The sequence below is a fragment of the Homo sapiens genome, chromosome 19, assembly GCF_000001405.40.
Source record: "Homo sapiens chromosome 19, GRCh38.p14 Primary Assembly".
NCBI lineage: Eukaryota > Metazoa > Chordata > Mammalia > Primates > Hominidae > Homo > Homo sapiens.
This window is the reverse complement of record NC_000019.10, coordinates 44,981,638-45,008,369: the sequence shown is the minus strand read 5'-3', so window position 1 is coordinate 45,008,369 and position 26,732 is coordinate 44,981,638. Positions and strand designations below refer to the sequence as shown.

The 26,732-nt window shown below is 55.0% G+C and overlaps 2 protein-coding genes across 7 annotated transcripts in view, besides 5 other annotated features; both read right to left on the bottom strand.

Moving 5' to 3' along the window:
- RELB (RELB proto-oncogene, NF-kB subunit) overlaps positions 1 to 6,906 on the bottom strand; it is a 36,729-nt gene extending 29,823 nt beyond the window's left edge. For all 4 annotated transcript variants that reach the window (XM_047439189.1, NM_006509.4, XM_005259128.3 and 1 more), the window contains exons 1-2: positions 6,685 to 6,906; positions 5,374 to 5,421 (exon numbers count right to left, since the gene is read on the bottom strand). Coding sequence is in view for 3 of the 4 variants with exons in the window: in NM_006509.4 (NP_006500.2) it covers positions 5,374 to 5,421; positions 6,685 to 6,790 (154 nt within the window). In the remaining variant the exon portion in view is untranslated. The remainder of the gene's footprint in view (positions 1 to 5,373; positions 5,422 to 6,684) is intronic.
- Positions 1,100 to 1,249: a silencer, noted in NCBI's record as "silent region_10748". NCBI's record gives its function as "represses an Ori minimal core promoter by ATAC-STARR-seq in GM12878 lymphoblastoid cells {active_cell/tissue: GM12878}" and the evidence as "EXISTENCE:reporter gene assay evidence [ECO:0000049][PMID:35858748]".
- Positions 6,073 to 6,352: a silencer, noted in NCBI's record as "silent region_10747". NCBI's record gives its function as "represses an Ori minimal core promoter by ATAC-STARR-seq in GM12878 lymphoblastoid cells {active_cell/tissue: GM12878}" and the evidence as "EXISTENCE:reporter gene assay evidence [ECO:0000049][PMID:35858748]".
- Positions 6,673 to 7,082: a silencer, noted in NCBI's record as "silent region_10746". NCBI's record gives its function as "represses an Ori minimal core promoter by ATAC-STARR-seq in GM12878 lymphoblastoid cells {active_cell/tissue: GM12878}" and the evidence as "EXISTENCE:reporter gene assay evidence [ECO:0000049][PMID:35858748]".
- CLPTM1 (CLPTM1 regulator of GABA type A receptor forward trafficking) overlaps positions 15,029 to 26,732 on the bottom strand; it is a 38,757-nt gene continuing 27,053 nt past the window's right edge. For all 3 annotated transcript variants that reach the window (NM_001282176.2, NM_001282175.2, NM_001294.4), the window contains exons 6-14: positions 23,067 to 23,152; positions 21,795 to 21,915; positions 20,947 to 21,191; positions 20,197 to 20,290; positions 17,785 to 17,975; positions 17,425 to 17,520; positions 16,997 to 17,132; positions 15,970 to 16,137; positions 15,029 to 15,759 (exon numbers count right to left, since the gene is read on the bottom strand). In NM_001282176.2, coding sequence (NP_001269105.1) covers positions 15,473 to 15,759; positions 15,970 to 16,137; positions 16,997 to 17,132; positions 17,425 to 17,520; positions 17,785 to 17,975; positions 20,197 to 20,290; positions 20,947 to 21,191; positions 21,795 to 21,915; positions 23,067 to 23,152 — 1,424 coding nt within the window. In that variant the 3' untranslated portion in view covers positions 15,029 to 15,472. The remainder of the gene's footprint in view (positions 15,760 to 15,969; positions 16,138 to 16,996; positions 17,133 to 17,424; positions 17,521 to 17,784; positions 17,976 to 20,196; positions 20,291 to 20,946; positions 21,192 to 21,794; positions 21,916 to 23,066; positions 23,153 to 26,732) is intronic.
- Positions 18,580 to 18,629: an enhancer, noted in NCBI's record as "active region_14777". NCBI's record gives its function as "activates an Ori minimal core promoter by ATAC-STARR-seq in GM12878 lymphoblastoid cells {active_cell/tissue: GM12878}" and the evidence as "EXISTENCE:reporter gene assay evidence [ECO:0000049][PMID:35858748]".
- Positions 19,110 to 19,269: an enhancer, noted in NCBI's record as "active region_14776". NCBI's record gives its function as "activates an Ori minimal core promoter by ATAC-STARR-seq in GM12878 lymphoblastoid cells {active_cell/tissue: GM12878}" and the evidence as "EXISTENCE:reporter gene assay evidence [ECO:0000049][PMID:35858748]".

Sequence of the window (26,732 nt, the reverse complement as noted above, 5' to 3'; positions counted from 1 at the left end):
GAGCTCTGGGTTCACTGCCTCTGTTCAAATCCTGGCTCTGCAACTTGCTAGTTGTGGGGCCATAAGCCTATTACTTCACCTTTTTGTGCCTTGGCTTCTTCATCTGTAAAATGGGCACAATAATAATGCCTACCTTGTTGGGCTAAGATACTTTTATTTAATATTTTATTTTATTTTATTTTATTTATTTTTATTTTTTTGAGACGGAGTCTTGCTCTGTCACCCAGGCTAGGGTGCAGTGGCACAATCTTGGCTCACTGCAACCTCTGCCTCCTGGGTTCAAGTGATTCTCCTGTCTCAGCCTCCCGAGTAGCTGAGATTACAGGTGCACACCACCACACCCGGCTTTTTTTTTTTTTTTTTTTTTTTGTATTTTTAGCAGAGACGGGGTTTTACTATGTTAGTCAGGCTAGTCTCGATCTCCTGACCTCATGATCCGCGCACCTCGGCCTCCTAAAGTGCTGGGATTACAGGCGTGAGCCACCACGCCCAGCCTATTTTCTATTTTTTGAGATGGAGTCTTGCTCTGTCACCCAGGCTGGAGTACAGTGTGGTGCATTCTTGGCTCACTGCAACCTCTGCCTCCCGGGTTCTAGCGATTCTCCTGCCTCAGCCTCCTGAGTAGCTGGGATTACAGTCTCGTACCACCATGCCCGGCTAATTTTTGTACTTTTAGTAGAGACGGGGTTTCACCATGTTGGCCAGGCTGGTCTCGAACTCCTGGCCTCAAGTGACCCACCCACCCCAGCCTCCCAAAGTGCTGGGATTACAGGTGTGAGCCACCACGCCTGGCCATGGGCATGATTTTAGAGCATGGAGTGTAGAGTCACATAGAGTTGATTTGAATCTCAGCTGTTACTCACTGGCTGTGCAGCCTTGGGCAAGTCACTTACCGTCTCTGAGCTTCCTCTACAAAATGAGGTGTGAGCTCCTACCTCAGGAACTAACATGAGGATTCAGAATCACACAGGTAAACTACTTAGTGCAGGTTCTGACCACGCGACATCTTCCAGAAAGCTTAGTTAATATTATTATTATCTCAAGTCCTCTATTAGCCAGGAAATTATTCAAGTTTCTGCTCAAATAGCAGTGCCTCCCTTTACCCCCAACGTGGACTTGCCACCATTCAGGGGCAGCCAGGATGGGCCACGTGAGAGCAGATGTGAGAGCAGGAAATTGACTATGTATGTGCTGCCTCAGCCTTTGCACAGGCTGGTCTCTGCCTGAATGCTCTTCCCCCAGTTCTTTGCATGGCGTGACTTCCTCCTCCTCCATCTTCAGTTCCTTGGTCAAACGTCACATCCTAGACAGCTCTTCCCTGACCATTTTATCCAAGAGAGTCCCCTTATCCCCCACTCCAGTCCCTCAAAGTCAGGTGCCTTTGTTTTATCATTTTCTTTTTTTTTTTTTTTTTCAGATGGAGTTTTGCTGTTGTCACCCAGGCTGGAGTGCAATGATGCAATCTCAGCTCACCACAACCTCCGCCTCGCAGGTTCAAGTGATTCTCCTGCCTCAGCCTCCTGAGTAGCTGGGATTACAGGCCACCACACCCAGCTAATTTTCGTATTTTTAGTAGAGATGAGGTTTTGCCACGTTGGTCAGGCTGGTCTTGAACTCCTGACCTCAGGTGATCCACCCACCTCGGCCTCCCAAAGTGCTGGGATTACAGGCATGAGCCACCACACCCAGCCTGTTTTATCATTTTCATGGCGCTGATGAAGATGTCACATGACCTCACATTACACTGACTCATACCTGTCTCCTATAGACTGGGAGCATTGAAGAGTGGGAATAATGTCTGTTTCTCCTCATTTTATCCCCAGGGTCCAGCATATGTCTGGCCCTTCACAATGAAGGGGATTTTCTCGCTGGGCACAGTGGCTCATGCCTGTAATCCCAGCACTTTGAGAGGCCGAGGTGGCTGGATCAGTGGAGGTCAGGATTTTGAGACAAGCCTGGCCAACGTGGTGAAACCCCGTTTCTCTAAAAGTACAAAAATCAGCTGCGTGTGGTGGCACACGCCTGGAATCCCAGCTGTTTGAGAGGCTGAGGCAGGAGGATGGCTTGAACCCGGGAGTCGGAGGTTGCAGTAAGCCTAGATCACGCCACCGCACTCCAGTGTAGGCGACAGAATGAGACTCTGCCTCCAAAAACAAAAAGGGAATTTTCCTTCCCATTCTATCTCACTAGTTCTCGTATCCCCACCCTGTTATTAAATATCATTGACCCCAAGGTTTCTTCATAGCCCTTATCACATTTTATAATCCCATATTTAACTTATTGTTTACGTGTCTGCCTCCTCATCTAGGTAGGGAACCCCAGGGCCAGGCCTGTCCTCAGCACTGCTCGGCACAAGGCCAGGTACAGAACAGGCGCATAATAAATATTTATTGAATGGATGACATCAGAAATAACTCTCATTTGAAACCAAAGATCTAGGTCTTGGACCAGAAAAGTCTCAGCCTTGGCCGGGCACGGTGGCTCATGCCTGTAATCCTAGCACTTTGGGAGGCCAAGGCAGGCAGATCGCTTGAGGCCAGGAGTTCCAGACCGGCCTGGCCAACATGGCAAAACCCCGTCTCTACTAAAAATACAAAAATTAGGTGGACATGGTGGCACACGCCTATAATCTCAGCTACTCGGGAGGCTGAGGCAGGAGAATCACTTGAACCTGGGAGGCGGAGGTTGCAGTGAGCCGAGATTGTGACACTACACTCCAGGCTGGGTGACAGAGCGAGACTCTGTCTCAAAAAAAAGAAAAGTCTCAGCCTTGTTCCTGCGCAGGACCACCGCTTGGGCAGTGTCTGTCACTGATGCCATCCTCCCTAAACTCACAGACCTGTTGGGGAACCGGCCTCACTTCTTCAATGGCCAAGCCAGAACTTGGGTCCATCCCAAGATTATATCTCCAGAGAAAGGCCCAGACCCAGCTAACTGGAGCCACTGAGTATTCATAACAACAGGACTACCCCTGCCCTCCAAATCCTGGCAAATGTATATAAGAAAAAATGTCATAATTTGGTTGAGATTCTGCATTTCCTTGGGCAGCACTGAATTTTGGCTGGGGGACTTTATAGACTAGTAGTTCTAGGCATCTCTTGGGAGCTTGCTAAAAATGCAAATAATTTCTCATCCCAAACCTACTGAATCAGAAACTCGAGAGGTGGGGCCTGACATGGTTTTTTGTTTTTTTTCCTGAGACGGAGGCTCTTGCTCTGTCACCCAGGCTGGAGTGCAGTGGCACGATCCCCGCTCACTGCAACTTCCGCCTCCCGGGTTCAAGTGATTCTCCTGCCTCAGCCTCCCAAGTAGCTGGGATTACAGGTGCCTGCCACCACGCCTGGCTAATTTTTTTTGTATTTTTAGTAGAGATGGGGTTTCAACATATTGGCCAGGCTGGTCTTGAACTCCTGACCTTGTGATCTGCCTGTCTCGACCTCCCAAAGTGCTGGGATCACAGGAGTGAGCCACCACGGCCGGCTGTTTTTTTGTTTGTTTGTTTGAGACGGAGTTTCACTCTTGTTGCCCAGGCTGGAGTGCAATGCCATGATCTCGGCTCACGGCAACCTCCACCTCCCAGGTTCAAGTGATTCTCCTGCCTCAGCCTCCTGAATATTTGGGATTACAGGCATGCGCCACCACGCCCAGCTAATTTTGTATTTTTAGTAGAGATGGTGTTTCTCCATGTTGGTCAGCCTGGTCTAGAACTCCCGACCTCAGGTGATGAGCCTACCTCGGCCTCCCAAAGTGCCGGGATTACAGGCATGAGCCACCACATCAGGCGACATTATGTTTTAACTAGCGCTATGGATGATTCTGATGCACATGGTTTAAGAACCACTGTCTGGCCAGGCACGGTGGCTCGCGCCTGTAATCCCAGCACTTTGGGAGGCCGAGGAGGGCGGATCCTTTGAGGTCAGGAGTTCGAGACCAGCCTGACCAACATGGAGAAACCCTGTCTCTACTAAAAATACAAAAAATTAGCTGAGCGTGGTGGCACATGACTGTAATCCCAGCTACTTGGGAGGCTGAGGCAGGAGAATTGCTCGAACCTGAGAGGTGGAGGTTGCAGTGAGCCGAGATCGCGCCATTGTACTCCAGCCTGGGCAACAGGAATGAAACTCCGTCTCAAAAAAAAAAGAACCACTGTCTGGCCAGGCGAGGTGGCTCACACCTGTAATCCCAGCACTTTGGGAGGCTGAGGCGGGCGGATTACCTGAGGTCAGGAGTTCAAGACCAGCCTGGCCAACATGGTGAAACCCCATCTCTACTAAAGACACAAAGTGGGTTGTGGTGGCGGGTGCCTGTAATCCCAGCTACTCAGGAGGCTGAGGCAGGAGAATTGCTGAACCCGGGAGGTGGAGATTGCAGTGAGTCAAAATCGCATCAATGTACTCCAGCCTGGGTGACACAGCGAGACTCTGTCTCAAAAAAAAAAAAAAAAAAAAAAAAAACACAAAAAACAGACAAAAAAAACCCACACACACACCAAAAATGAACCACTGTTATAGACTGTCTAGTAATAATAATTATTATCGTTATTATTATTATACCACTAACAGTTAACACTTACTGAACCCTTACTGTGTGCCAGATACTGCTTGGAAAGTGTACCTGTATCAATTCATTGAATACTCTCAATTTCCCTGAAAGAGAGGCACTGTTATTCTGTCCATCTTACAGATGAGGAAAACTGAGGCCTGAACTGGGGAACTGACTTGCAGACATTCACACAGGGAGGGGCGATGACAGCAGTATGTAAACCCCAGCTCCAAAGCCCAGGATGGCAGTGATTACCTTCTACTAAGCCACAGTGAATCTCTAAAGAAGCCTTTGCGCATGGATAGGTGGTAAGATTTACCTGTCACGCTTTTTTTTTTTTTTTTTTTTTTTTTGAGTCGGAGTCTCGCTCTGTCTCCCAGGCTGGAGTGCAGTGGTGCGATCTCGGCTCACTGCAAGCTCCGCCTCCCAGGTTCACGCCATTCTCCTGCCTCAGCCTCCCGAGTAGCTGGGACTACAGGAGCCCGCCACCACGCCCGGCTAATTTTGTTTTTGTATTTTCAGTAGAGACGGGGTTTCACCGTGTTAGCCAGGATGGTCTCGATCTCCTGACCTCGTGATCCGTCCGCCTCGGCCTCCCAAAGTGCTGGGACTACAGGCGTGAGCCACCGCGCCCGGCCACCTGTCACGCTCTTAACAGTCCAAGAGGTAAGAAAACCTAGGGGGCCCATCTCAACTGGCAGGGAGGGATGCACCCTGTCAGGAGAAAGCTGAGGTGGACCTCGTGAACCCCCAAACAGAGACATCTCTGTGGAGTCCTCCCAACCTCATCCTGCATGAGCGAGTGGGCAGGAACTGTGGAGGGCTGCTCACCTGTGCTCCTGGAAACGGCGAGCGAGAGTGAGGAGAGGTCGGGGGACCCTGCAGAGAAGGAGAAACGTCTCAGGAGGTGATGGGGGGCAGCCAGAGGACCAGAGAATATCCCAAGGAAGCCCCACCCCTTCCTCTTCTAGCCCTTCCCCTCTGGATCAGGCCCCTCGCCCTGACTGCCCCCCTGCGTCTGGCCAGGCTTACCAGCTAAATCATGGACAGGTCCTGGCCTTTAGTTTCTGTGGTTCGCCCCACCCTTCATCACACTCAGGGCCCGCTCCTTTTCTCCCTTAAAGTTGGGCCTGGAGGGGACCCCATCTCAATCTCAGTTTAAAAAGTCCCCATCCCGCTGGGCACAAGGGCTCACACCTGTAATCCCAGCACTTTGAGAGGCCGAGGCGTGCGGATCACCTGAGGTCAGAAGTTCGAGGCCAGTCTGACCAGCATGGTGAAACCCCGTCTCTAGTAAAACTACAAAAATTAGCCGGGTGTGGTGGCGGGCACCTGTAATTCCAGCTACTCGGGGGGCTGAGGCAGGAGAACTGCTTGAGCCCGGGAGGCAGAGGTTGCAGTGAGCCTAGATCGTGCCACTGCACTCCAGCCTGGGCGACAGAGCGAGACTCCATCTCAAAAGAAAAAAACAAAAAACAAACAAAAAAAAACATCCTCCTGTCAGGGTCAGACCACTTTTAATTTTTTCAATGTCAAGGCTCCGCTTCTCCGTCTGGAGGCAAGCCCCACCCCCTCCTCATTCTCTGTGTCGGGCCCCGCCCTGCTTTTTTGGGTAACAGGCCCTTCCCCTCCACTCGGCCAGAGTCAGGCCCCGCCCCTTCCCCTTCTTTCGGCCAACTCAGGCCCCGCCCCCTTCCTGCCCTCACGGCCAGGCCCCGCCCCCTCACCCCTCAGCGTAGGGCCCTGCTTCCTTTTTTGAGTCAGGCCCGGCCCTCTTCTCATAGTCCGGGTCGGATCCCGCCCCTCTTCTCCCTCTCTGGGCCCGGCCCCGCCCCGATACCGCCCAAGAGCAGCTTTCGCTCCGCCTTCTCTGAGTCAGGCCACGCCCCCTTCTTTGCCTCAGGGTCAGGCCCCGCCCCCTCTCACTCTACAGCGGGACGCCTCGCTCGAACCTCGGGCCGTACCCCCTCATCACCCTCTGCCTTCTTCCTACGCCCTAATACAGTGTCTCAGGAACCCTCACTCTGCCCCCGCGAAACCCTTAGACTCCCATAGGAACCCCCAGACTACTCCGGGACCGCCAGAATCCCCGCATCTCCAGCCCCGCCCCAGACCCCTCTCCTGAACCCCAGCCCCGCTTACCTAAGGCCCCCAGCTCCGGCGCAGCCGGCGGTCTGGCGACGCGGCGACTCGGCATGGCCCGGCCAGTGGGGACGGACGGCCCAGAGGCTGGCCCAGACCGAAGCATGCACGCGGGCCGGCCGGGCGGCCGGGAGGCACGGTCTGGTGGACGATCGCGGGTCGGACGAGCGGCGCAAGGGCTGGGGCCGCAGGCCGGGCAGGACGCGCGGCGCCCGGGGCTGCGCGGGGCGCGGGGCCGGGCCGGGCGGGCGGCGGGCGGGGGCGGGGCGGCGGAATTCCCCGGCGCCGCCGGCCTGCGCGCCCATTGGTCTGCACCCCGCCGTGACGTCACGCCTGGGGAACGGGAAAACCCCCACGCGTCACGTGATCGCGGGGGCGGGGCCGGCCGGGAAAGGGAGGCTGGGCGCTCAGGAGGGGTTGGGCAGGCGTCGCTGCCCATTGCTCTGGACGAGACAACTGAGGCCTGCTTAGAGCCATCACGCCTTACCCATTGAGCAAGCCGGCAAACTGAGCCGCTCCCCGCTTTGGTCTCCCAGTGGGACTTGAACCTGCCGTTTCTCAGGCTGGAAGGGGAGCTTCAGGATCGAGAGGTTGGCAGGGCTCTACACCTGCCATCCATAATAATATTTCGGAAACCTCCAAGGTCTCGCTACACCTCAGTTTCCTCAACCGTAAATTGAGGATGAAGATATTTAAGGAACGTTTAAAGCTAGCGTGTCAGCTTCAGAATTTATGTTTTGTGCGTTGTTGTAACCCCAACGCCTAGACCAGCGCCTGGAACACCGTAGGTGCCCAATAAATGTTTATTGGAGGCCGGGCGCGGTGGTTCATGCCTGTAATCTCAGCACTTTGGGAGGCCGAGGCAGGCACATCACGAGGTCAGGATTTCGAGACCAGCCTGACCGACATGGTGAAATCCCATCTCTACTAAAAATACAAAAATTAGCTGGGCGTGTTGGTGTGCGCCTGTAATGCCAGCTACTCCGGAGGCTGAGGCAGGAGAATAGCTTGAACCTGGGAGGCGGAGGTTGCAGTGAGCTGAGATCGTGCCACTGCACTCCAGCCTGGGCAACAGAGCGAGACTCCCATCTCAAAAAAAAAAAAGTTTATTGGATGAATGCATGGATGTTTTATTTATTGGTTTGTTCCTCCCTGCAGCCCCTGAAAGTTACCCATAAATAGCCCAGACCACTTTGAGCTCAAAAGCTCAGTTATTCAGTCTGCGAATGGCAGCAGTGTAGCCTCCGTATACATCCTGAGCTGTGTGCCTAAACCCTGAGCTCATCCCTATCACCAGCGCCAGAAGCATATGATAGGATTATTGCAGAAGGGACTCAGGCTGAAAGAGGGGCAGCCATTTGGCTAGATCACATTCCTAAGCCTCTCATATTCCTGAGAACGACTAGGTGATCTATTAGGTTCTAAGTTGGATGCCAGGCGCTCTCAGACCACAGATGCAGGGTTTGTTGTCTTTCCTTTGCTTGTATAAAATTTGGGTGTTCTGGCTAGGCACGGTGGCTCACACCTGTAACCCCAATACTTTGGGAGGCCGAGGCAGGAGGATTGCTTGAGCCTGGGAGGTTGAGGCTGCAGTGAGCTGTGATGACGCTATTGCACTCCAGCCTGGGTGACAGAGTGAGACCTTGTCTCAAAAAGAAAAAGAAATAACTCTGTAAGTTGAATGTTCACAACAATTGTGTGAAGTATATGGTGTTATTGATCCCCACATAGCAGATGAGAAAACTGAAACCCGGCAAAATTAATTTCTCCAAGGTCACACAAATTAATAGACACAAATATTTAAAACACAAAATTCTTAGAACAGGGCCTGGCACATGTGGGTGCTATATACAAATGTGAACTTTTTTTTTTTTTTTGAGGCAGGGTGTCACTCTGTCACCGAGGTTGGAGTGCAGTGGCAGGAACATGGTTCACCACAGCCTCAACCTCCTGGACTAAGGGGATCCTCTCACCTCAGCCTCCAGAGTAGCTGGGACTACAGGCACACACCACCGCATCCGGCTAATGTTTTCTTTTCTTTTCTTTCTTTTTTTTTTTGAGAGATGGAGTCTCGCTCTGTCACCCAGGCTGCAGTGCAGTGGTGCGATCTCAGCTCACTGCAATCTCTGCCTCCCGGGTTCAAGCGATTCTCCTGCCTCAGCTTCCCAAGTAGCTGGGACTACAGGCATGAGCCACTGCGCCCAGCCTGTTTTCTATTTTTGTAGAGAGAGGATCTGTTGCTTAGGCTGAGCCAGTGCACCTGGCCAAAGGGCAACTAACTATTAACATCATTTTATTTAATACTCATGACCGTCCTATTATTAGACCCACTTTACAGACGGGAAACTGAAGCTCAGAGAGATGAAGTCAGTTGCCTGAGGCCACACAGCTGGTGAGCTGGGACCACAGGTGTGCGCCACCATGCCTGGCCTAATTTTTGTGTTTTTAGCAGAGATGAGGTTTCACCATGTTGCCCAAGCTGGTCTCAAACTCCTGGATTCAAGCGAGCTGCCTACCTCAGCCTCCCAAAGTGCTGGGACTACATTTCTTTCTTTCTTTTTTTTTTTTTTTTTTTAGTAGAGATGGGGTTTCACCATGTTGTCCAGGCTGGTCTTGAACTCCTGACCTCAGGTGATCCGCCTGTCTTGGCCTCCCAAAGTGCTGGGATTACAGTCGTGAGCCACTGTGCCCAGCCCTATTTCTTTCTTTTTTTTTTTTTGTTGAGATGGAGTCTTCCTCTGCCACCCAGGCTGGAGTGCAGTGGCGCGATCTCGGCTCACTGCAAGCTCCTACTCCCGGGTTCACGCCATTCTGCTCCTCAGCCTCCCGAGTAGCTGGGACTACAGGCGCCCGCCACCATGCCTGGCTAATTTTTTGTAGTTTTAGTAGAGACAGGGTTTCACCGTGTTAGCCAGGATGGTCTCAATCTCCTGACCTCGTGATCCGCCTGCCTTGGCCTCCCAAAGTGCTGGGATTACAGGCGTGAGCCACCACACCCGGTCTTCTTTCTTTTATTTAAGACATGGGATTTTGCTGTTGCCCAGGCTGATCTTGACCTCCTAGCCTCAAGTGATCCTTCTGCCCGAACCTCCCAAAGCGCTGGGATTACAGGCGTGAGCCACTGTGCCTGGCTCTTCAATTTACAGTTATTACACACAGCGTAACAGTGTCAGGCACTGCTCTAAAAGCTAGGGACATAGCAAGGCACACAGCAGACAAAAAGCCCTTGCCATCAAGGAAATCCAAGTGAGGAGACAGATGGAAAACAGATAAGCAAATATTATGTCTGATGGTGATGGCAGTATTACAGGATAGAGCAGGATAACGAGAAGGAGTTCGGAAGATAGTTTGGGTTAGGAAGATCAGGGTCTGAGAGGTGCCATTTGAACAGGGAGTCAAAGGAGGTGAGGGATTCATGTGGATATCTGGGGGAGAGTGTTCAAAGCACAGGGGCTAGCACGTGCAAAGGCCCTGTGGTAGGAACATGCATGGCATGCTTAAGGAATAGCAAGAAGGCTGGTGCAGAGTGACTGACAGGAAAGGGGTAGAGATGAGGGCAGAGTGATGGACCAGTAAGGTGACGAGGACACTGAATAATATTAAATGTAATGGATGAAGCCAACCACATGCAGCACTTACACTAGTGCTTGGCTTATGATAAGGATGACAAATAGCAGCTCCAATTGTTATAGGACCAGAAGCTCTCCTGATTCCTCTCTGCCTCTTGCCAATGCCAGGCCTCAAAAATGTTTGTTGAGGCTGGGTGCAGTGGCTCATGCCTGTAATCCCAGCACTTTGGGAGGCCAAGGCAGGCGGATCACCTGAGGTCAGGAGTTCAAGACCAGCCTGGCCAACGTGGTGAAACCCCGTCTCTACTAAAAATACAAAACTAACTGGGTGTGGTGGCATGTGCCTGTAGTCCCAGCTACTAGGGAGGCTGAGGCAGGACGATCACTTGAACCCAGGAAGTGGAGGCTGCAGTGAGCTGAGATCACGCCACTGCACTCCAGCCTAGGTGACAGAGTGAGACTGTCTCAAAAAAAAAAAAAAAAAAAAAAAGTTTGCTGAATGACTAAAAGGACATGTCAGGGCCAGGCACGGTGGCTCATGCCTGTAATCCCAACACTTTGGGAGGCTGAGGCAGGCAGATCACCTGAGGTCAGGAGTTCAAGACCAGCCTGGCCAACATGGTGAAACCCCATGTCTACTAAAAATACAAAAATTAGCTGGTGTGGTGGCGGGCACCTATAATCCCAGCTATTCAGGAGGCTGAGGCAGGAGAATCACTTGAACCCAGGAGGCGGAGGTTGCAGTGAAGTGAGATCGTGCCACTGCACTCACTCCAGCCTGGGTGACAGTGACTCCATCTCAAAAAGAACACAAATAAATAAAAAGGGGCCAGGCACAGTGGCTCACGTCTGTAATCCCAGCACTTTGTGAGGCTGAGGCGGGTGGATCATGAGGTCAGGAGTTTGAGACCAGCCTGATCAACATGGTAAAATACCATCTCTACTAAAAATACAAAAATTAGCTGGACGTGGTGGCGCACTCCTGTAATCCCAGCTATTCAGGAGGCTGAGGTAGAAGAATTGCTTGAACCTGGGAGGCAGAGCTTACAGTGAGCCGAGATCGCGCCACTGCACTCCAGCCTGGGCGACAGAGCAAGACTTTGTCTCAATAAATAAATAAATAAATAAATAAAGGATAGCCAGGCGCCGTGGCTCATGCCTGTAATCTCAGCACTGTGGGAGGCCGAGGCAGGCAGATCACTTGAGGTCAGGAGTTCGAGACCAGCCTGACCAATATGGTGAAATGTGAAACTCTGTCTCTACTAAAAATACAAAAGTTAGCTGGGCTTGGTAGCAGGTGCCTGTAGTCCCAGCTACTCAGGAGGCTGAGACAGGAGAATTGCTTGAACTCGACAGGCGAAGGCTGCAGTGAGCCGAGATCGTGCCACTGCACTCCAGCCTGAGCAACAGAGCGAGACTCCATCTCAAAAAAAAAAAAAAAAGTAAATAAATAAAAATAAAAATTAAAAAGGACATGTCAGATATCCTCAGTGCTCAGGATTTCTGCTGGGCTGTGAGCCCCATGACGGCAGGTCTGGGTCTGTCTTGGTCCTGGCTGTATACACAAAACACCCCAGCACACGGCACTACCCAGGGGCAGGGTTCAGCTGTTACATTTGTTGACTGCTTGTCACAGTCTCCAGTGTCTGAATATGAGCCCCACCGAGGTCCACACTTCTGGATGTGTTCATGTGTCTGGGAAAGTGAATGTTGGGGTTGTTCAACATGCACTCATTAAATATTCCTGGCGTGGCTTCTCTGTGTTTGGCCCTATGCTGGGGACACAGCAGTGATCAAGACAGGTCTGGCTATGTCCTCACGGGGCTCCATCCAGTGGAAGAGACCAACCTGTCCCCAGTGATGACTCACAGTGGGCAGGGCTGCCATGAGAGACCCCAGAGAACTTGGCAGTCAGGGAGGGCTTCCTACAGGAGTGAGCATTGGAGCCACAGCTTGGAGGACACATGGGTAAGATAAAGAAGGGATAAGCCAGCTGTGATGGCTCAGGCCTGTAATCCCAGCACTTTGGGAGGCCCAGCTGGGAGGACTGCTTGAGGCCAGGAGTTTGAAACCAGCTTTGGCAACATCGAGAGACCCCAACTCTACAAAAAATTTAAAAATTACGCAGGCGGCCAGGTGCTGTGGCTCACACTTGTAATCCCAGCACTTTGGGAGGCCGAGGCAGGTGGATCACAATGTCAGGAGTTCGAGACCAGACTGGCCAAGATGGTGAAACCCTGTCTCTACTAAAAATACAAACATTAGCCGGGTGTGATGGTGGGTGCCTGTAATCCCAGCTACTCAGGAGGCTGAGGCAGAAGAATCGCTTGAACCCGGGAGGTGGAGGTTGCAGTGAGCCAAGATCGTGCCACTGCACTCCAGCCTGGGCAACAAGAGTGAGACTCCATCTCAAAAAATAATAATAATAAATAAAAATACTAAATAAATAAATAAATAATTACGCAGGCGTAGTGGCACTTGCCTGTGGTCCTAGGTAGTTGGGAGGCTGAGGCAGGAGGATCGCTTGAGCCAGCAGGTCAAGGCTGCAGGGCTGTGATTGTGCCACTGCACTCCAGCCTGGGGGACAACGCAAGACTCTCTCAAAGAAAAAAAGAAGTGGACAGGGGTTGTGTGCCTGGGGGCAGGATCCAGGTAGGGGGAAGACCAGGCTGGATGCAGGGGTTAATAAGTGTCCCCATCACCAAGGTCTCAGTCCCCAGTAAGGAGCCTGGGCTTTCTCCTGAGGTCACTGTGCACCCACAGTAGGTTCTGAGCAAGGGCTGGGCAGGGTCAGGTTTGTGCTTTAGTAGAATAAACTATAAAGTTTCCTCTAGCTGGGCCGGGCAGGGTGGTTCATGTCTGTAATCCCAGCACTTTGGGAGGCTGAGGTGGGCAGATTGCTTGAGGTCGAGACCAGCCTGGCCAACATGGCGAAATCCCGTCTCTATTAAAAATACAAAAAATTAGCCAAGCGTGGTGGTGCATGTCTGTAATCCTAGCTACTCAGGAGGCTGAGACAGGAGAATCACTTGAACCCAGGAGGCAGAGGTTGCAGTGAGCTGAGATCCTACCACTACACTACAGCCTGGGCAACAGAGCAAGATTCTGTCTCAAAGAAAAAAAAGAGTTTCCTCTAGCTGCTAGCTAGAGTGTGAATGGGATGTGGGGAGGGCAGGACCGGGACAGGGGACCAGACAGAACACTGAGCAAGAACACCACAGGGTAAGGAGGGGCATGGAGCAGGTGGAGCAGGTGGTCCCAATGAAGAGGTGAGACCCCCAGGGAGTTGTGGGGGTAGCTGATGGGCCTTGTCAAAGGCTTGGGCGTGGAGCTGTGAGAGGAGGAAGAACCAGGGGTGACGAGGCCAGGAAGTCCAGGTGGCTGGAGAGCCCACCAGTCTCAAGGGGCTGCAGAGCCCTGTACCTCCGGGGTTCCTAGGAGCCTGTCAGTCAGGCCATGGTGCAGAGGCTGGGGTTCCTCCAAGGGCACCGGGGATCCATGGAATGGTATAGAGTTGGGGGGCGGGTAATGGAGACCCATGGCTGCCCTGAGGGATGGGAGACTGCCATGGCCTGTGGACCTGTGGTATGGGGCTCCGAGGGTGCCATCGTCTCCCTGGGGCCTCATGGATCCCCTGACTGGCTCTGCAATATGGGGTGGCAGCTGGAGCCTGAAGGAACCTGGTGTGGTCCTCAGCGTTGGGCCCCCTATCCCAGAAGTGTTGCTGAGACCACCCCCCAAAACAGTAAACCTGGGAATGTAGGGTCCCCAGCCCTCAGAACACAGAGGCCTCGCTCAGCTCACCTATCCAGTGGGCGAAGAGTCCCAGCACCAGGGGCTGGGATGGGAAATCCAACTCATGCCACCTCTGTTGTCAGCACAGGCAGCCCCGGGGATGTGATATGACACCCCAACACTCACAGAGTGCTACAGCCAGCCAACCAGGTGCCACTCAGGCAGGCTGAGCCTTCACCCCCATGCTCCCCAAAATTGGGAGTGGGTGTCAGCGCAAAAAGCCAATGGCACACATTTAGCGTGCCCCAACTGCTGTGCTGAGGCCTCAGGGTGGCAGGTGCTCATGGCGACCCGGCTGAAAGCTGTACTTGGCCCTGCCTGGTGGTGTCGGGTTAGGAGACATTCAGCGGGCACATGGCAGGCTCCAGCCTGCACCCAGCAGGGGCAGCTGGCAGGAAAGGGTATAGGGCAGCGAGCTCCCTGCAAGCAGCTTCCCCAGCAATCTGAAATGAGGCCAGTTAATGAAATCTCAGAGGGCTGGTGGGAGGGCGAGAAGTGAGGAAGAGGCCTGGCCTGGCGGGTATGGCTTTTTTTTTTTTTTTTGAGATGGAATCTTGCTGTGTTGTCCAGGCTGGAGTGCAGTGTGTGATCTGGGCTCACTGCAGCCTCCGCCTCCCGAGTTCAAATGATTCTCCTGCCTCAGCCTCTCGAGTATCTGTGATTACAGGTGCCTGCCAGCATTCCCAATTAATTTTGGTATTTTTAGTAGAGACAGGGTTTCACTATGTTGGCCAGACTGGTCCCAAACTCCTGACCTCAAGTGATCCATCCACTTCAGCCTCCCAAAGTGTTGGGATTATAGGTGTGAGCCACTGCGCCCGGCCAGGTATGGTTCTTGACACAAGGTCACAATCCCCACCTTTACAGGTCCCGTACCGTGTCAGGTCACTCTCCCAGACCCAGGAAAGCCACCTCATCCCTGCTGGAAGCTGTTGTCCAAGGCAACAGAGGAAGGAAGGCACGAGGAGGAGGGGCAGTGCTGAGTTTAAGTTAAACACCCATATGAATTTATTAAATCCAGACTGTGTTAAAGGGCGGCGGTCTAGGAGGGGGAGTGTGGTAGGGGGACGAGGGACAAGATGATGAACGGCCGTGGGCATCCCGTAGGGGGGCCCGGCCCCACCCCCGCCCAACCCACCCCCTCGGCAACGCTGCATCAGCTTCACCATGATTCCCAGTGGTGCTGGGCTGGCAGGGCGAGATGGCTGGAAACACAGAGGGACAGAGGGACAGACAGCGCCTCCACAAACAAACCCTGGCCTGCCCCGGCCCCTACATCACACGCTGGGCCCTGACCTGAGGCGGGCCTCCCACCGCCCCGGCCTGATCTGTCCAGGGAAAGGGCGACAGGGAGGGGAGGCGAGGGGGCCGGGACGCAGGGGTAGTGGTCGCCAGGAGCCGGAGCAGGTGAGGACCAGTCTCGACTAATCCTTTTTCTTGTCCTCTGCTGGCTTTGGAGGGGCTTCCTGGGGCTCGCTGGCAGAGCTGGCCCCCTGGGTGGGCTTGGTGGGCAGGGACGTGGAGGCCTCCTCCCTGGTGGCGGTGGTCGTGGTGGGTGCAGGTGTGGGCGTGAGGGCCCCTGCTGCTGTGGGAACCTCGGCCACGGGGGCGGCAGCTGTGGGGTCTTCTCCACTCATGCCAAACTCGTTGACTCGGGTGGGGTCGACGCGGTAGATCCACCGTTGGTAGAGGTAGATGAAGAAAACCACATCTGGAGAGGGGTGGGAGGCAGTGTGAGGTCGGGCTGGCCCGTCCACAGCCAGGTGGGCCTGGGTGGAGAGGGCGTGATGCAAGGGCGGGGCCGAGCCCCCTCAGACTGAGCACCCCATCTGGGGCCGTGGCACCCCCTCAGGCCTGGGCCCTAAAGACTGCCTCAGGGCCCTGTTCCGGTGGGAGCTCCCACCTGCCCACCGGGCCTCACCGTCCCGCAGGCAGCCGATCCGGTACATAACGGGCATCTTGATGACAAAGGCGAACAGGTCGTCGATGAATGTGTTGAGGGCCTTGTAGGTGAGCATGCGCCAGGGAAGGTGGGCCACAGACTTGAGCTTGTAGTTGATGAAGAGCTGGGGCGTCATGGTGATGAAGCCTGCAGTGAGAGCACCCATGAGCAGAGGGATGGCCTCTCCCACCTCTCCCCTGTGCACTCTGCACTGGCCATACCAGCCCCCTCACCACTTCCTACACCTGGGCACACTCTACCACTTCCTATACCTGGGCACACTCTACCAGCGGCCTCTGCACTGGTGGGGCCTTCTGTCACATCCGCACAGCTCTCTCCCTGGATATCTGAGGCCTCTGTTTAAATGTCCTGTCCTCAGAGGGGCCCCCGGACCCCTATTAATGTGCATCCTCCCACCACTCTGCCCTTCACAGTACTCACTATTGGCTGTGATTCACCCGGTCTTTTGTTTTTTGAGACAGGGTCTCACTCTGTCACCCAGGCTGGAGTGCAGTGGCGTAATCATGGCTCACTGCAGCTTCAACCTCCTGGACTCAAGGGATCCTCCCACCTCAGCCTCCCAGGTAGCTGGGACTACAGGCACGCACCACCACTCCCCAATAATTTCTGTGTTTTTTTGTAGAGATCGGGTCTTGCCAAGTTGCCCAGGCTGGTCACGAATTCCTGGGCTCAAGTGATCCTCCTGCCTCAGCCTCCCAAAGCATTGGGATAACAGGTGTGAGCCACTGCACCTGGCCCTACTTGTTTACTTGTTCCCAAGACACAAAGGCCCCCTGAGAATGAGGACTGAAGCGTACTGTTCATGTCCTCCCTGAAGTCCTCTCTGACCCCAGATGGGGCCATGTGTGCCCTCGGGCCTCCCTATATCCCAGCTCTGCCCACCCTAGGTTGTCCCTGTCTGGGGATGGGTCTGTCTCCTACACTGGGGCTGTGAGCCCTGCGCAGCATGGGGCCTGCTCTCTCCTGGGGCGGCCGGACCGCTCACCGAAGGTCAGCAGGAAGCCGTAGAGCATGCTGAGCACCCAGGAGTACCAGCCCTTGTGCTCCAGGTACAGAAGACTGTAGACGGCATAGCAGCCCAGGAGCGGGAAGAGGATCCAGGACAGGTACCGGAATGCCATCTGTGGGGCCACAGGGTGGGGCTGTCAGCCAGCTCCTCAGCCCTGCCTGGCAGCCCTGCTCCCCGCCCTCACCCACCACACCTGGTCTGGCAGGCCGGGCAGGGGGAATTTCCAGGTAGCCCTGGGGACTCCGGACTCGCCCAGGGAAGCAGTTATGGCAGATGGGGGACACAGAGGATGTGGCACAGGCTGTAAAGCATGGGTCCGGCAGACAGATGGCCGGCCCCGGGTGCCTCAGGGATACGTGGTACCTGGAGACCACCCCCAGGGGCCCACTGTGCAGGACACTCACATCATCATACACTTTGGTCGAGGACTCGATATACGTGGACTTGTCCTTGAAGGATAGGCGGGGGAAGATTCCTGCCACCCTGTGCTCTCGGTCCAGCTGTGGATGAGGTGGGTGCCATGGTCAGTTGCTACGCTGGCTCCCACCCCACAAGCCAGAACCAGCCCCTGCCCTTCCCCACCGTTCCCAGTTCCCCTGCCCCATGTGTGACCCAAAAAATCCCCTGGTGAGAAAATCCCCTCAGTCCTGGGAGTGAGGCACTTGCTGGGAATCCCCCGGGGGCCAGCTCCAGGGTCCAGCTGGGCCACACTACCCCCTCCCAACCCCTGCAGCTCCCGAGACAGCATGGCGCCCCAGCCTTACCCGGACGTCCATGACCTTGGTGATCTTCCAGAGGTCGATGAGGACCCCAATGAAGACGCTGACCTGGACCACGAAGTTGGTCTCGTTGTCCAGGATGTAGAGGAGGACCACGAATGACTGGAAAACGCCGAAGAAGACGGAGCGCACGGACAGGCCCTCCAGGGACTGCCGGCTGTTCCAGAACTGGATATCTGTGCGCAGGGGGTAGGGGGGAACCAGGAGGCTGAGGAGGTGCTGAGACCCTACTGCAGCTCCCTCAGGCCCCCTTGGCCTGCATCCTCACACCCTGGGGTGGGGCTGGGTCCTCAGGAGGGGTGCTGAACGAGACCCCTCTCTCCCAGGAAGGCTCTCATATTCATTGGGTGACCCCCAGAGCACCAGACAGGCGGCACCCCTGGAGCCCTCCCATAGGACGTCAGCACCCAGCACCCCAAGGTGCAGTCCCTTGACTGATGGTGACGGTGACTGGTGCCATGGACAGGGCTCACCACGTGCCAGGTGCTAAGGACTGGTCAGGGAAGCTGCTTCCCTGAGGCCAAACAGCCTGGCATGGCAGAATCTGAAGGGACGCGGGGTCTGTGCCACACCATGGTGCCAGCTCGCCCTCCCTGGGAAGGAAGATCTGTGGCATGCACTTCAAGACCACCTCCTCCAGGCCCCTGCCCTGACACCGGGAAGGAACTGGCTCACAGCCATGCTCAGGAAACTGAAAAGGGCCCTGGGCTCCAGTCTGGAGCTCCTTCCAGTGCTCCGCCTAGATGCTGCCAAGGATCCATGTCAGCATGCTCCTCTCTGAGCCCTGGTCTCACCACGGACACCCCTCTCTTGACCCCGCCCGGCTGAGCATCTAACCGCAGCCACAGGAGGCTGAGCCACCACGTCTGTAGCACAGTGGTGGAGCCAGGTCTGCAGTCCTGCAGAGTCAGGGCCAGCTCTGCACTCAGGGAGTGAGGGCTGTGAATTCTGGTCCATGTGCACCCTACCCCATCCCAGAGCTCCCCCACATCCCAGAGCTCCCCCACATCCCAGAGCTCTGGCACACTCCATAGCCTCACCCCACCCACCCCTGCCCATCAGAATGACCCCTGTCCCAACTGAGAAGAATGGGTCTGGAGACAGGGTTCTGGTGGGTTCTCGTGGGAGCAGTTGGGCCCAAGCCTCTCCTTAGACCAGGGAGGCCACACAGCACTGGTGCCAAGTGAGGCCTGCGCCCCCTGCTGCATGACACTGGGGAGGACAGCCTTCTTGTGCCTCATTTCTCACTGGACCCCAGCCAAGCCAGCTCCTAGGCAGAAGGGTCCCGTCTCCCAGCGACAGCTGGTAGATGGCTGGCTGGGGTCGGCACCAGCTCCTGTGCCCGTATGACACTGCATTCTTCCAGATGGTAGTTCTCAATAATGGCAAGAGCGTCCTTTTTTTTGGAACAGGGTGTCACTCTGTTGCCTAGGATGGAGTTCAGTGGTGTGATCATGGCTCACGGCAGCCTTGACCTTTCAGGCCCAAGCCTCCCGAGTAGCTGAGACCATAGGCACACGCTGCCATGCCCAGCTAATTCTTAAAAAAAATTGTGTAGAAACGAATCTCGCTTTGTTGCCCAGGCTGGTCTCAAACTCCGGGGCTTAGGTGATCCTCCCACCTTGGCCTCCCAAAGTGCTGGGATTACAGGCGAGAGCCACCACCAGGCCGGCAATAGCATCTTAATACCAGGAATACTACTACTCATTCCTCTTGCCGCCTGCGGGAGCTACAGGGCCGCAGGCCACTCCTTCAGACTGGGGTGCTCTGGGCAAGGAAGAAGTGGCCTGCAGGGCCTAGAAGATGAGAGTTGGGGCTGGAACCATCTGCCCCTTAGGAACCGTGTGACTGGGCAAGTGACATCCCTGAGCCTCTGGCTCCCACAGGGCTCAAGGAGCTACTGGGGAGGGTACCCAGGACAGTGCCTGGCATGTGGCTGCTTCTCCTCAAACGCTGGCCATCAGTATGGTCAGCCTTAGAACCTAGGGACCTTTGGGGGACAGTGCTCCTCCTTCCCACTTGGGCAGGCCCCGTCCACTCAGCCCTAAGCGGCCTCCCGCAGCAGGCAGCCTGCCGGGCAGGGTGGCGGGAGCAGCTCCGGGGCTTCCCTGCTCTTGGCTCTGGAGTTCCCCAGCCCTGCTTCCTGGCAGTATTGGCCTGGCCTCTGCCCCACCAGCGGGCCAGCCCCTCCCTCAGCTCCACACCCGGTGGGTGGGAATTTCTGGGTTGGGAGTTTTGGGGCCACTGCCCCTCCCCAGCTCACTAGGCCTCTGGAGAGTGGGGCTGAGAGACCCCAGGCAGGGGGAGGACATGTGGGGAGGGAGGGGAGGAGGAAGGGGGCAGGTCCTGTCCCCCACCCTGCACAGCCTCTCACTAGCCCTGGGGTCCTGTTCCTACCATTCTTGAAGGCCAGGAACTCGAAGACACTGTGAACGATAGACACGATGATGGTGAGCGCCAGCAGGTAGGGGTTGGTCTCCAGCAGGGCCACCTGCAGGGGACACATGTGAGCACAGCCTGTCCCCACCCAGGAGCACCTTCACTAGCTTTTGTCCCGAGGGCTGCCCCTGGGGCCGCCTGTAGAGGGAGGCTGAAGGTGGGCCAGCCAGGAGGAGACTGGGTCAGAGATGGGCAGATGGGGAGAGAGAGGAGGGTGACTCACAAAGACAGAAGAGACGGGGAGATGGCACTAGGGGAAGAGGCAGAGGCCAAGGGAGTGCTGCGGGGAGTGGGTGAAGGGACACTGGGAGCCAGGAGCAGAGACCCAACAGTGACGACAGCCCAGGAGGCAAAGCCGAGCCTCACGCCACAGACACAGGCTGACATTTCAGGACCCAGTGAGATGGCAGAGACACAGAGTTGGAGCCAGGGCCAGGGACACAAGGTCTGGGACAGAAGGAGGAAGGGACAGGTCTGGACCCAAAGGGTCCAACAGAACAGCCTGGGGAGAGGACCCCCAGTCATCTAGGGCTGGAGGGCTGGGTGCCCACTTCCTTTCACTGTGGAGAAGGGACCTGGGAGGTTGTGAAACTGTGGGCAGAGGAGCACCAGGCGGGAGGTCCCACAGCCCAGGCCTGGCACACTTCCTCTTGGCCTCTTGCGCCCAGGAAGGCACCGGGAAGTCCCGCCCACACCGGCCGCACTCACCTTCACCGAGTCCTGCTCCTCATCTGACTGCTCGTACAACTCATCACCCAGGAAGTTCCAGGGCGACTTGGTGCTCTGGGCAGCATAGAGCTGCCAGCGCCAAAGCGAGAGTGGGCAGAAGGAGACGCGGAGCGGCAGGCTGGCCAGGCTCTCGTTGATGGGGTAGTAGTCCTTCTGCAGGTTCCAGTAGTCATTGAAGTAGATGATGGGATAGTAGTCACCGCTCACGGCGTCGAACTTCACATCTGCAGCACGTGGGGCAGGGGCACCATTTGGCCCGGGCAGGAGGCCAGGGTACCCGCAGGCCTCAGATGTCTGGAGAGACCCAACAGGGCCCCTCTACAGAGACTGGAGGACAGGGGACATTTCTAGGCCACACCATGAGGAGCTAAAGGGTGCCTTGACCTCAGCAGAGGGGACTGAGGCAAAGGGCAGGCAGGTCCCCACTGAAGGGGGCAGCTGTGGCTCAGCTCCAGCCCACGGCTGCCCTGTGGGTGACCATGTAACCCAGTTTTATAAAATAAGCCAGAAATTGTGGCTTTTAAGTGATACTGCCTCAATTTCAAAAGCTGGCAAGTGATAAGACATTTTTTGAAAACAGTTTGTGGGCTGGATGGCACTTGATTGCGGACCGATGCTGGCGTGTAGAAGTCAGTCCTGGGGTCCCCAGGGGTGGTGGTGTGGGAGAGGGAGAGGACATGGGAAGGGGATAGGACAGGGTGGGAGCTTGGGAGGGTGGAGCCCTGGAAAGCTCTCTCAGGGGGACAGGGCCAGGAGAAGACAAGGAGATGGACCCCGAGCACCCTCTCAAAGGCTCTGCAGGCAGCTGGCAGGGCTGGGGAGCTTACATTGATCCAGGGGAGGGGGCACACTGCCCTTCACCCACGGCGTGTGGTCGTCCACGATGTTGATGGTGATGTTGGGGTGCCAATGGGAGATCACCTCCACAGGCCCATAGTCCTCAGCCCTCTGAGGCAACATGGGGGGAAGGACCTCAGAGGCAGGTGGAAGTGCTCGGGGACTATCACTCTCTGTACACTTCCTCCCCAGGGTTCCCGAGAAAATCTTAATCTTTGCTTTCTTTTTTTTCTGAGATGGGGTCTCACTATGCTGCCCAAGCTGGTCTCGAATTCTGGGCTCAAGCACGATCCTCCCACCTCGGCCTCCCAAAGTGCTGGGATTAGAGGCGTGAGCCACCATGGACAGCTTCTTTTCTTTCTTTCTTTTTTCTCTTTTTTGGAAGAGATGGGGTCTCACTATGCTGCCTGGGCTGATCTTGAACTTCCGGGCTCAAGTGATCCTTCTGCTTCGGCCTCCCAAAATGCTGGGAAAACAGGCATGAGCCATCTCCCCTGACAACCCTGGCAGCAGAATATCAGCCACCACAGCAACTGCTGGCAGAAGGCTCTCCTCCCTAGGCTTAGAGATTCCGCCACCCAGGACCCTTCCGGCCACCGACAGGATCCTCCCACCCCACATGTAGAAAACCGAGGTAGAGGTAGAGGCAGGGCTGGCATCCTAGGCCAGGCTGCGAAGCCCAGCCTCATGACAGCAGGCTCCACACACTCTTGCACGGTGGCCTCAGCTCCATGAGCAGGGACCACCCCCCCAACACAGGACCACCCGCAGAGAGAGGAAGTCTCTTAGTGCCCACTGCAGGTTAACCACAGATTAACTGCCCGGCTCCCCAGCCCACTGGGAGTGACAGCAACTATGAATCCTGCAGTTCCTACTAAAGCCATATTCTCGTGTGTGTGCTTGGAGCCAGGCTGAGCTTGGGCTCTGGGGCCTGGCTGTGTGGGTGAGAGTCCCTGGCCTGCCACTTCCGGCTGAGACTGAGCAAGTGTCCTCATGTGACAATGGGACTGTGATGTAGACCCCTCCCAGGCTGGCAAGAGGCTCAGGTAACCTTGTCTGGGATCCTCCTCACTCCCTGAGAGACAGCTGCCTCCTGACCCCATTTCCCAGAGGAGGAGCCCAGTGCTCAGGGAGGGGAGGTGGCATGACCGAGCCGGCATGGTGGTTCAGTGGTGGTGACAGATGACAGCCCCAGTGGTCTGGGATGAGCTGTGAATGGCCTGGCTTGGTCCCTATAGGCCCTGACAACCCTGCCCATTTACCTTGATCATTTCTGGGTCCGCTTCTGTCTCTCCTGTCAGCAGGTTCTTGGTTTTCTGAAATCGTCTGCGCTTGTATTTGTTGATCACTGTGGTTGGGAGGTGGGAAAGGAGGGGACGTGAGACCTGCTGGCACCTGCAGCCTCCAGAGCCCGGACCCCTGCCCACCAGCAACGGCTCACGGTCTCCTGGCATCCACCTTGCACTCACCTGCTGAGATCAATGTGACCTGGAATGCCAGAACTGCCTCCCCAAATCTCAACGAATCCCAGTTCCTCATGATCATGGGGACGCCACCATCACCAAATGCCCCAGGCAGAAACCCCAGCTCAGTAGGGCACTGTAATCCCAGCACTTTGGGAGGCTGGGGCGGGCAGATCCCCTGAGGTCAGGAGTTAGAGACCAGCCTGGCCAGCATGGTGAAACCCCCCGTCTCTAATAAAAATACAAAAATCAGCCGGATGTGGTGGCGGGTGCCTGTAATCCCAGCTACTCGGAAGGCTGAGGCAGGAGAATCGCTTGAACTAGGGAGGTGGAGGTTACAGGAAGCTGAGATCGCACTGTTGCACTCCAGCCTGGGCAACAAGAGCGAAACTCCGTTTCAAAAAGAAAAAGAAAACAAACAAACAAATAAATAAAAACAAGTGACTGATCATGGCATCCCGCAGCTTTGGAACCCCAGACACTCACCGTAGCCCCGGTGACCTCTCAACCCTCACCACCTTCCACTTCTCAAACATGCCAACCCGGGGCCTTCAGGCGTGCTGCCCCGTGTCCCAGGAACCCATGCCCTGACACAATCTTCGTGGCCTGGCTCCTCCGTGGCATTCAAGTCCCTGGCAGAATGTCCTTCTTCCACAGGGCTTCCCTGGCCACCCCACTGAATGAGCCTATGCAGTCATTCTCCTGCCAGCTTGTTTCCTTCACAACATTTCACCACTATCCAAAACCACTTAGCCAGTGGTTTACCTGCCTGCTGTCTGTCCCTGCAACCAGTCTGCAAACTCTGTGCGGAAATGCGGGTAGGGGCAGGGCCTGTTTGAATACACATGGGGCGCCTGCACAGGCTCGGTGATGACCAGTTGAATACATGACTATAAAGAGGCAGCAGACGGTTCCAAAAAAGGCCTGAAGCCACCAACATGAGAAACCAAGATGAGAAACACTTTGAGGCTGTGAATCCCCAGCCAGGAGTTGGCCTCACTTCCTCTCGCAGAGGCCCAGTTGGCCACAGGCCCCCTGCCATGTTGTCCCAAATGCTGCCGGGGAGGAAGGGGCTTGTGCGTGCCCACGCTCCATCTCCCAACCTCTGCCCTGGCCTGGGGACGTTTCTGTTTTTTTTCTGGAGACAGAGTCTCGCTCTGTCACCCAGGCTGGAGTGCAGTGGCACAATCTCGGCTCACTGCAACCTCCGCCTCCTGGGTTCAAGCAATTCTCCTGCCTCAGCCTCTCAAGTAGCTGGGATTACAGGCGTGTGCCACCAGGCTCTGCTAATTTTTTGTATTTTTAGTAAAGACAGGGTTTCACTGTGTTAGCCAGGATTGTCTCAATCTCCTGATCTCGTGATCTGCCCACCTTGGCCTCCCAAAGTGCTGGGATTACAGGTGTGAGCTGCCGCACCTGGCCCGAAAAGAAGCTAAGTATTTTTCTTTTTTCTTTTCTTTTTTTTTTTTTTTTTTTTTTTTTTTTGAGACAGAGTCTCGCTCTGTCATCCAAGCTGCAGTGCAGTGGTGTGATCTTGGCTCACTGCAACCTCCGACTCCCAGGTTCCAGCTATTCTCCCACCTCAGCCTCCTGGGTAGCTGGGACTACAGGCGTGTACCACCACGCCCGGCTAATTTTGTATTTTTAGTAGAGACAGGGTGTCACCATGTTGCCCAGGCTGGTCTCAATCTCCTGGCCTCGTGATCTGCCCACCTCAGTCTCCCAAAGTGCTGGGATGACAGGCGTGAGCCACTGAGCCCGGGGACTTTTCAGCTCTTCCTTATGCTATGAAGGAAAACTCAGTCTGCCCTCCCTCAAGTCTCTATCCTGTCCCCTGGGGCCAGGGAGAGACAGGGAAAGGGGAAAGAGACCTGGCCAACAGCGGGGGCTCTGGGGGCAATCTTGGCTCTGAATCCTACAAGCTAAGGGATGCTGGTGAGTGATGTCACTTCCCTAAAGAAGGAAGAAAAGCCTCACCACTTCTTGGCCCAGGGCCTACTGCTTATTAGCAGAAACGTCATCCTCATTTTTTTTTTTTTTTTGAGATGGAGTCTCACTCTGTTGCCCAGGCTAGAGAGCAGTGGCATGACTTCAGCTCACTGTAACCTCTGCCTCCTAGGTTCAAGCAATTCTCCTGCCTCAGCCTCCCGAGTAGCCGGGATTACAGGCATCCACCACCATGACCAGCAATTTTTGTATTTTTAGTAGAGACGGAGTTTAACCATGTTGGCCAGGCTGGTCTCAAATTCTAACCTCAAGTGATCCACCTGCCTCGGCCTCTCAAATTGCTGGGACTACAGGCTTGAGCCACCTGGCCAATCCTCATCATTTCTATGATTATTAAATCATTGGGGATCTTCCTCCTGTGTCCAGGGGGAGAAACCAACACTCAAGGGTTGACTTGGAGAAAATTCCAGGGGGACATGCCCCAATCGTGTCCACACCTGACAGAGACTGTCCAGGGAAGGGAGAGCCCCAGAGGGCAGCGCTGGCTGGTGGAGGGGGAGGCACAGGGGAGAGAGGCTTTGGCTCAGGCAAAGAACACATTCTGCAGCTTGGAGGCATCCAGACCAGATGGACCTGGCTCCTGTGGGGAGGAAAAAGCCCCCCTTTCTTGGAGGAAAATCTTCTAGAGCTGCACCATCCAGTATCAGGGTTGCTGGCCACATGCAGCTACTGGGCACTGCAAATATGGCTGGTCCAAACCAAGAAGTGCTATGATATAAAACACACGCTAGACCCTTTTTTTTTTTTTTGACATAGTCTCGCTCTGTCGCCCAGACTAGAGTGCAGTGGCACGATTTCAGCTCACTGCAACCTCTGCCTTCTGGGTTCAAGTGATTCTCCTGCCTCAGCCTCCCGAGTAGACGGAATTACAAGCGTTAGCCACCATGCCCGCCTAATTTTTGTATTTTTAGTATAGCTGGGGTTTCATTATGTTGGCCAGGCTGGTCTCAAACTCCTGGCCTCAAGTGATCCACCTGCCTCAACCTCCCAAAGTGCTGGGATTACAGATGTGAGCCACCGTGCCCAGTCACACACACTAGATTCTGAAAACTGACACAAGGGGAAACAAAAATGTAAAATATCTCACTTTTTATACTGATCATATGTTGAAACGAGAATATGTTGAGCTCAATTAAACTATTATTGATATTAATCTCATGGTTTTTCTTTACCTTTTTATTTATTTATTTGTGAGACAGGGTCTCCTTTTGTTATCCAGGCTAGAGTGCAGTGGTGTGATCACTGCAGCCTCAACCTCCTGGGCTTGGGTGATCCTCCTACCTCAGGCTCCCGAGTAGCTGGGATTACAGGCATGTGCCACCATGCCTGGCTAATTTTTGTATTTTTATTAGGGGGGGTTTTGCCATGTTGCCCAGGCTGGTCTCGAACTCCTAGGCTCAAGCAATCCTCTAGCCTTGGCCTCCCAAAGTGCTGGGATTACAGGTGTGAGCCATCACG